Source organism: Homo sapiens, chromosome 2 (genome assembly GCF_000001405.40).
Source record: "Homo sapiens chromosome 2, GRCh38.p14 Primary Assembly".
NCBI classification, from domain to species: domain Eukaryota; kingdom Metazoa; phylum Chordata; class Mammalia; order Primates; family Hominidae; genus Homo; species Homo sapiens.
This window is the reverse complement of record NC_000002.12, coordinates 18,331,580-18,340,798: the sequence shown is the minus strand read 5'-3', so window position 1 is coordinate 18,340,798 and position 9,219 is coordinate 18,331,580. Positions and strand designations below refer to the sequence as shown.

Genomic DNA, 9,219 nt, shown 5'->3' with positions numbered 1-9,219 from the left:
GATAGAATGAATAAATAATGAAAGATTGCTACATCAGAAAGAGCCCAACCTTAGAATGTGGAGATCTGATCTCAAGTTCCATCTCCATCACCACTGGATCCCTCTGGGCAGATTATTTAACTTTTGCTCTTTTCTTGCCTATCAGATAAGAGAAGTTATGATACTTTTATTTTACTCAAAAGGCTATAATAAAAATTCATTCATTGATTCATACACTCATTCATTCAACAGATATGCCTTAAGTTCCAATTGTTGGCCACACTTTGGAGAAGGAAATAGAGTCTACAACAATGTGCATTGAGGATAACAGCATTTGGTAGATTTGTTGTATGAATTTAATGAGAAAATAAAAAAATCTTAGCATTGTTTTTTTAAGAAGACTAAATAAATGTTCACTGTTTCATTGTTCTCTGAGCTTCCAGAAGTTTCTGCCATCTGACAATAGTAGGAGATTATGGGTAAACTGCAGAATCAATTTATGCTTCCTCCATATCAGAAAGTCAGATGAATCTCAAGAAATAACTAAACAATTGTGGCCAAGAAGCAATGTGATGTTTTTTCATATTCTTAAAATAAATTGAGTGATTCAAAAATTAAACATCATCATTTTCTGGGGTCATCACTGAGCACGAAATTTTAATTTGATCCTTGAAAGGAACCACCATATGTTCCATTTGAAGTCTGAGAAAACTGAATCCCTTCAGCATTGTCATAAATTGAGAATCAGGGGAGGTGCTATGTCAGAAATTGAGAGCACTGAGTCAAATTTTCCTCCTAAACAGCTTCCAACGTTAGTTAATTAGCCAAGTTCGAATTTAGGATAATTCTTTTTAATTGAAGAAAGTGGGTATTCACAAACTCTGCTTCAGTAATTGCAAGAAGAATGAATTGCCATAAAAATGTAAGAAAAGTGTTTCTCTCATTTTGTATGAATCTTATGTCTACCTCAATATATCAGTAAATTCAATATGAAATTTAAACTTGAAACCATCTACCAAGTTTCTCAGAGAACTTTATTACTACTTCAAAAAAACTAAATTAAATTTCTATTGTAGAATATTCTCTGATTTCCCACAATAATACCACTTTTCCAAAATCGTAATAAAGACACATTCCCATGGCTTTTTAAAATGTCTTTGTGAGTTATATGGAAGGCCTGCACATTTAGCTTATGCTTTGGATAATTCAAAATGAGTCATACAAAAAGTAGTCTTTTTCTCTGTGAAGATAAGAGTTTTGCTTGTAAATATTTATATTACTTTTGTCTCCAGTAATATCTGGAAACACTTGGACAGGATGTTAAAGAGATCTCTCAGCCTCTTTCTATACTTTGTCTTAAAATGCAGAAAATGCCAAAGGAACTTGTTTTTCTCTTAGAGGAAGTTTTAAACTGTTATTACAAAAAGAATACACTTCATTATTTTTAAAAATCAAGTGGTACAGGATGGTATAAAACAAACTGAGTAATTTCCTGCCTCTAACTGTAGTGTCACTAGAGGCAGCCACTGTCCTCACACTTTGTATAAAATAACAAAATATAAACATGTTTTCATGCATTGCATGATTTGCTTTTTTCACTTAATAACACATGCTCAACTTTTAAAAGTCAGCACTTATAGGTTTATAGCAATCTTTTAATGGGTTTAAATTATTCTGCTTAACAGTAATATTGTGACTTATTTAATTAATTTAGGTGAACATTTGGATAGTTTCCAGATATTGTTATTACTACAATGAATGCTGACCCCATATTTTGATTTTTACAAATTATGGCTAATTGTGCTGCACAAGTAGGCAAGGAAACACAAAGTCTAATATCTGCTCTTGTTTATTTGCTTACAACCAGTTCTGATATCTCAATCACTGGATGATCAAAATTTTTTTAATTAAATTTGCATAAACATTTATTACATAATTGTTTTCCTTGATTTTGTGAAAGTTTGTCACATATCTCATGGAAGTTTTCATCTGTACTCTTTTACAAAAAATAAAAATAAAATCAAGACAGTTAATGTACATGGCCAGCCTGGAAGTTCCAAGTTACTGAGATTATCAGAATGCAAATAAATGTGTTCTTTATCTTTTCTCACATTGTTTTGTAAAGTGAAGTGGTTAAAGTAATCAGTTTTTGGAGTGTGAAACATTGCATTAAGCCGTGGTTCTGCTGTTAACTGGCTATGTGGTTTAAAAAAATTACTTAATATTCCGAAACCTTGTTTTCTTCATTTCAAAATGTGGATGATTATAAAAACTAGTTTTATATGGACATAGGGATAGTGATAGGTTACAGAAGATATGCAAGTAAATCTAGCACAGAGTTTAGCACCTAGTAAGTGAATACTAAATCTTAGCTATCATCACCATCATCGTTGTCATCATCATCATCATTTTTTTTAATACATAAGATTCTTATTCTGTTCACCCTAAAATTTACTCTTCACCATCTACAAGATAAATCAGCCTTCACGCCTCTTAGCCTGACCTATCTTGTCTTTAATAACACATTTCCACTGTGTACCTCTAGCTTCATTTGCTACATATCACTGTCATTTCCTGAACCCAAATCATTCTCCCTCATATACATACTCCTATTTTACCCAAACTGTCCTCTTTTTCTTATGGCAAATTCATACTCAGCCTTGCGGTTTTCTCTCAATAATGTATTTGTTCTATTACTATGTGGGACAGTAGAGATGTAAAGTGAAGAAGGAGAAGGCAGATGTGTAAATTGGTGAGTACACTAAAGTGCACAATTGATGCATTGGAAGTCTGCTCTTGGAGCAATGGATCCACCAGTGTTGGAGTGGTCATTGGACTTGGTGGGGTGGGCAGAAAGCCAGAAAAAGTCTACATGGGAGAGATGCCTTTTGGATAGCAGTAGTTATTATCATAAACATAATATTTCTTTTGTAAAGATTTCCACAGACATATCTTAGAAAGGATTTTGTGGGGCAAGGATAAGCGATGGAAAATATTCCAAGCAGAGAGGTCTAAGTCAGCAAAATTATAAAAGCATAAACATTAGGTGCATGAAAGAATCTCAATAGAGGATGTGAGCAGTTGATGAGGAGGAAAGCACAGCCCAGATCTCAAGGGACTAGGTTTAAGTAATAAATTTTTACTGTGGACAATGAAATAAGTGATAAATTTTATGTAAGAAAGTAACTATTCAATGCTTAGGATTCTAATCACTCATCTCTCCCTACCTTCTACCCATTGGGCAAAAATCAGTTGAACAGACACAACTAAATGAAGACCAAAGAAAATTATCAGGTTTACCCACGGAACTATGGTAATGACTAAATAAGGGAAGGCTTTGGGCCTCCTCCCTCTATCCCCACATGTGGGACGTGAAATATGGGATGTGCACTGCTCAGTCCTCCACTATTAAGAACACTTACCCAGTCATCAACCTGGAACATGGAAAGCCTGCTTCTTGACCCCAGTTGCCACCAGAATGAAACCTACAGGAGAGCAGCAGGCTTCTGTTCTGCTTTTGACTTCAGGCCCTGAGCTCTGGCCCAGGGGTGCTCACTGCATGGGGGCAGGAAACAGAAGATAGCCCACTGCCCTACTGCAATAACCCATGAATCATCAAGAGGCACGTTTCAGCCTGTTTCCTTTGCATTTGAAGCAAAGCTGTTCTGCCTATAAGCAAGCATGTTTCAGTATGTGTCAGGCATTTACCATGAAACCAGTAAGAATAAGAGGTTTCTACCATGGGGAAGCATTAGTAAGTCGGGAAAGGAGTGAACTATTAGACCTCAGATCTTCCCTGATGGAACTGTCATCTCTGTGAAGTTCTCCTCTCCATGGACTGAAGAGAGGACAGGGATGGGAGAGGTGACTGCTCCCTCCATGAAGTGGCACAGATAGATTTGCTCCCCTTCCTTTCTGATGTCTTCCCTGACTCACCCAGAAAGTTTCAAGGTCCCTTTCCTCTCTGCACAAAGGACATCTCGTACAAACCACCACCTTTTAAGAACTTATTGTAGGATTCCTTCTTTTTTTATTTGCATTGTCTATATTATCTTAGACCAACAGTTCTTAATCCTTGGCAGGGAGGGGAGGAAGGGGTTGAAGATTTCTTTTGTATGTAATAAAAGAAGCCAAATTCCTCTTGTTCTCTCTTCCCTTTAGAGCCCATCCCCTAAAAAGCATACAAAAGCACTTTAGAAAGTTCACTGATAACTCTGAAACACCTCCTTAATTCATGTTAACCACACCCAAACTAGGCTGTGAGCTTTAAAAAGAAAAGGTAGAATTAACTTTTTAAACTCTAATCATCCACTACCATGTTTGACTCAGAGTAAGAGTTAAAGTAATATCCTTCAAACAAATAGTGCACAAGCAAAATAAAGTGCAAGTAATTCACTAGCTTCTATTGCCTGACACATTTCAATTTGAGGAACATTGTTTGAACTTCTGGTACTTACCAATGCTGTTCAAGTCTCACCCCATGCTCTACCCTATTTCCTCCAAAATAAACGATAAAAAATGAAATGCAATCAGAGTAAAGATCTCCTACCCTAGCCCTTTTATAAAAAGCAAGAATTGAGTTTAGAATGTGCTCTCCAGGGTTTTCAACATCAGCCATATGACAAATAAACCAATAGAAGGAAGAGATTAGTAAAAAATTGGGCAACTATTTCAAAGTGCCTACATTTTCTGAGATTTAAAAGAGCAAAATCTTACTAAGTGCTATTGCGACAAAATACTGCCATCATGATGATACTATGGAGTTAAAACAGATTTCAAAATGTGCATGTCACTTTATTATGCACAATATTATTTTAAAAGATATCAGTCTATGCTATGTAATCACAACATGAGTACATGAAGGGAATTTTAATTACAAACCCAAGGTCTTCAATTAGAAGAGATGAAAGGCAAGGGAGCCTGGGAGTTGGTTTTAGTGCTCAGCGCAGTGCATCTGAGAGGCAGTGAATAGGGAGACTGAGACACAGTCAGTGTCAGCCAGGGAGCAATACAAGAAGGCTTGTATTTGTCAGTTATTTTCTGTAGCTTCGTTGTCCCAAATGAGGCAAGCCAGTTTTGCTGGACATCCAACATCCCATTGATCCAAACAAATACCCAAGCCCAGTAAGCATCAAAGAGAGAAGAAATACTACTGGTAGTGAAGGTATAAGGAAACAAATGAAAGATATCATAGAACCCAAATAAGGAGGATTTACAGAAGAACTCAGATGTAAGAGAGGGAGCACATGCACCCCATGCTTGACTGCAAAGCTGCTCTGAGAAGTAAGCCCTACCCACCAAGTCCTTCTACAGAAGCTACAGAAAACTGACAAATACAAGCCTTCTTGTGCATGAGTAGCTTTTGGGAGGTGTGGAATTACATCAAAAATCTTTTTATCCTTCATCTTTATTTCTTGCATATCAGAAAATACTTTAATGATGACCTACTATGTGCTAAGCACTGTGGTGCACAAAACCCAGACTTGTACTCTCATGGAGCTTGCAGTTAAGTTGAGAAGACAGCTATTAACCAGATAGTCCCATGAATGAATCTATTGTTCCAAATTAAGATTAAACAAAACAATTCCTTGAGTGTATAAGTAAAGAAATATGACTTAGACTAGGTGCTCTGAAAAGTTACCCTCTAGAAGTAACACTTAATCTGAGAGCTGAAGGAGGAATAGGAGTAACCAGGAGAAGAGGGAGACAGGTTTTTCAGACAGAGAAAACAGCTTGTGTGAGAGCTATGTGTTGAGAGACGAGGTGAACAGTTCTAAGAGTTAAAGCCCTGATAGCCAGCCCTGCCACAGCACAAAATGAAGGCAAAATGTATATTAAAAATTAAATAGAATCACTACAACTCATCAGTATAGCCAATGACACTAATACTCATAATGATTATCATGTTGATAATAATAAATAGTACTATCAATTTTGTATACCTACTATATACTAGACCTTATGTTAGGTAATGGAAATACATACCATTTATTGCACAAACTTAACTGAAAAACAACATGTAGTTTGAGTATTGCCTTATACGCATCCCATCCTTCAAATAAAATGACAAAAAGAAAAACCCGAGTTATAGTTTCTGCCTTTTATCCCAATAATAAAACATTGGTTAAGAATATGCTTTTTAGGATGTTAACTATGTGTCATTCAATTTATTAAATAGGTCAGTATGGTTGAATCTTTATGAATTTTAAAAAGGAAAAAACATTGAAACTCTTGTATTTCTCGTGCTGAAGAGTTAATAAATTAGATAAAGAAAACTACTGACAGAAGAAAGTTGAAAAGAATACTCTAACTTATCTAAGAACCATTTTCTTATCATTAAAACAATTTTGCATAAAGGCTATTAAGTTTGTTATTGATTTTAGTACAGTAAAATAATAATGTTTATTCATTAATTACAAAAAATGTAAAATGTTCTGTAGCTATAAAGATCTGCCTTGAGGGTGAATGGCCAAAGCGTCAGTAACTAAATTCCTAGTAGTCCAGGATTTGAACTAACCTGAATTTTCATTTCATTGTACTCTACTTTTAAGAGAAAGATGCTATGGATACACAAAGAAGCTGTGACACTATTTTAGTTTACACTTTTTAAGCAAATTTCAATTACTCTACAAATATTTAGTATATGCAAGGTATTTTACTACATATGGTGGAGGACACAGATAATGAAAGACCTGTTCCCTACATTCAGGAACTTTATGATTGAGAACTACTACTTCTGATTAAGATGGAGCCACATGGGCTGGAGTCACATTCTTGTCTGAAACAATCTGAAGACCAAAATCACATGTGAACCAATTTCTGAACATTGTTCCTAAACTAACGAAGGACACTGATTTTTTGGGAAATAGGGGAAGTAATCCCTACCACTTCCTCAGCACACTGTGTTGGGATAGTTTCCAGGCCACACTGCAGGGAGTGAGGAACAAAGCAGAGTCCATTAGACTCCTTGAGTAGAGAGAATAAAGCTAAGATCCAGGGGAGACCAAGTCAACTAGAATTGCAGGACACAGGACCAGACAAATAGAGCTTCACAAATTGACAAATCCAGAAATCTGCAATTTCTTTGGCTTCATCAAAATGAAAAACTTCTGCTTTTGCAAGGAGGCTGTTAAGAATATTATAGACAAGCCACAGGTTGGGAGAAAACATTTGCAAAGAGTTTATCTGATGAAAGACTTCTATTCAAAAAATTTGAAAATTCACTAATAATAAAGCAAACAACTCAGTTTTAAAAATATGGAAATATTCCTTATAGATTCTGAATATTTCACCATTGTCAGATGCACAGTTTGTGAAGATTTTCCCCCAATCTGTAGGCTGTCTGTTCACTCTGTTGATAGTTCATTTTGCTTCACAGAAGCTCTTGAGTTTAATTAGGTCCCACTTATCAATTTTTGTTTTTGTTGCAATTGCTTTTGGAGATTTAGCCAAAAATTCTTTGCCAAGGTCAATGTCAAGAAGGGTATTGTCTAGCTTTTCTTCTAGGAATTTTACAGTTTGAGGTCTTACATTTAAGTCTTTAATCTATCTTGAGTTAATTTTTGTATGTTGAAAGGAAGGGACTCAGTTTCATTCTTCTCCATATGGCTAGCCAGTTATCCCAGCACCATTTATTGAAGAGAATCTTTCCCCATTGCTGGCTTTTGTCAGTTTTGTCAAAGATCATATGATTGTAGGTGTGTGGCTCTGTTTCTGGGTTCTCTATTCTGTTCCATTAATCTATGTGTCTGTTTTTGTACCAGTACTGATGGCAGCTGGGCACTGCCTCAAGAGGCTGCTGCCATCACACTGGCCACTGCAGGGAGGGCTTGAGGAGGAGGCACACAGCCCCCTGGGGCCACTGCAATGGGAACAGGCCACATCACCTGCTGGTAGGGGAGCAGCCCGCCAGGAGAGCAATGTGGTTGGGCAGAGAGGGGCCCTGAGGTGGAGCTAGGCCCCAGGTGGGGCTGCACTTGCACACAGAGCACAGGGCCCAGACCCAGGGCTTGGAGCTGGGGCCAAGATTGAGGAGCTGCACCCACTTCAGGAAACCAGCCAGTAGCGTGGGCAGGAGCCCTGACCCCCCCAGGCTAGGATGTGCCTGCTCCCACTGACTGGCCTCTCCCAACTTTCAGCACCTGCTTCCATCTCCGAGTGGGGCTGGGGCCAAGCTCAGGTGCTGTCACAGCCCGGCTGGGTGTGTGCATGCTTGGGCCCTGCTGCCACAGCCCCCTCCAGACTTTGGGCACCAACAAATGCGAGGGTGAGGGAAGCCAAGGAGGGGGGTGAGGGCGGCTTGGCCCTGGCCTGAAGGTGTCACTTGGTACGAGCAGCCTGGGCACTATGAATGATGGCAGAAGGCAGACGGGCTCCTAGGTGGAAGGGGACAGGTCCCCTCTGAGGCCCCAATTCAAGCCAGGGAGGGCCTGAAGGATGGAAGCTGGGCTGCCAGTCCCATGGACCAGATTGGGGACTTGTGGTGCCTTTTCTGGCCTGCCCATGGCCACCCATGGACCAACTGGCATGCACTTCCTCCCCTCTGAGGCCCACAGAAGTCCTGGGCTCAGCCAGAGCAGAGCAGAGGATGGAGAGATGATGGGATGACCAGCCGTAGAGAGGAGCCAAACACTCTAGGGCCTCCTCTCTGCTGAGAGCTGCAGAGATGATGGAATGACCTGCCTGCAGAGAGGAGCCAACCACTCTAGGGCCTCCTCTCTGCTGAGAGCTGTAGATGATAAGACAACTAGCTGGAGAGAGGAGCTCTCTCTGCTGAGAACTGAACACTTGTTGGGAGGACCTGCCTGCAGAGAGGAACTACCCTCTCTGCTAGGAGCTGAACGCTCATCGGGACACCCTGGCTATGGAGAAGAGCTGCCCACTGCTGGTCTTCTCTGAGTTGTTCTATTGCTCAATAAAGCTCCTCTTCATCTGAGTCCTTGTCCTGTGACCAGGAAGAATAAGGTATGCAAACAAGTGAAGGGTGAGCAAGATGAAGAGGAGCTTTATTGCCAAATTAGGTTAATCTAGACTAAAAAAGCTACTGTAACACAAACAGGGCTGAAACATGCCCCCTGCTCACCACATTGCAGGCAAACAGGAGGAGAGAAGAGCTGTGGCCCTAGCAGCTGGGCATGGTGGCTCACGCCTGTAATCTTAGCACTTTGGTACCCTGAGGTGGGAGGGTCACTTGAGGTCAGAAGTTCGAGACCAGACTAGGCAACATAGCAAGACCCTTGT

At 39.3% G+C, this 9,219-nt stretch overlaps 1 annotated feature.

Annotated features, from left to right (window-relative positions):
• Positions 8,195-8,831: an enhancer, noted in NCBI's record as "H3K27ac-H3K4me1 hESC enhancer chr2:18513234-18513870 (GRCh37/hg19 assembly coordinates)". NCBI's record gives its function as "activates a minimal SCP1, AML or CMV promoter by ChIP-STARR-seq in primed H9 embryonic stem cells {active_cell/tissue: H9 hESC(primed)}" and the evidence as "EXISTENCE:reporter gene assay evidence [ECO:0000049][PMID:30033119]".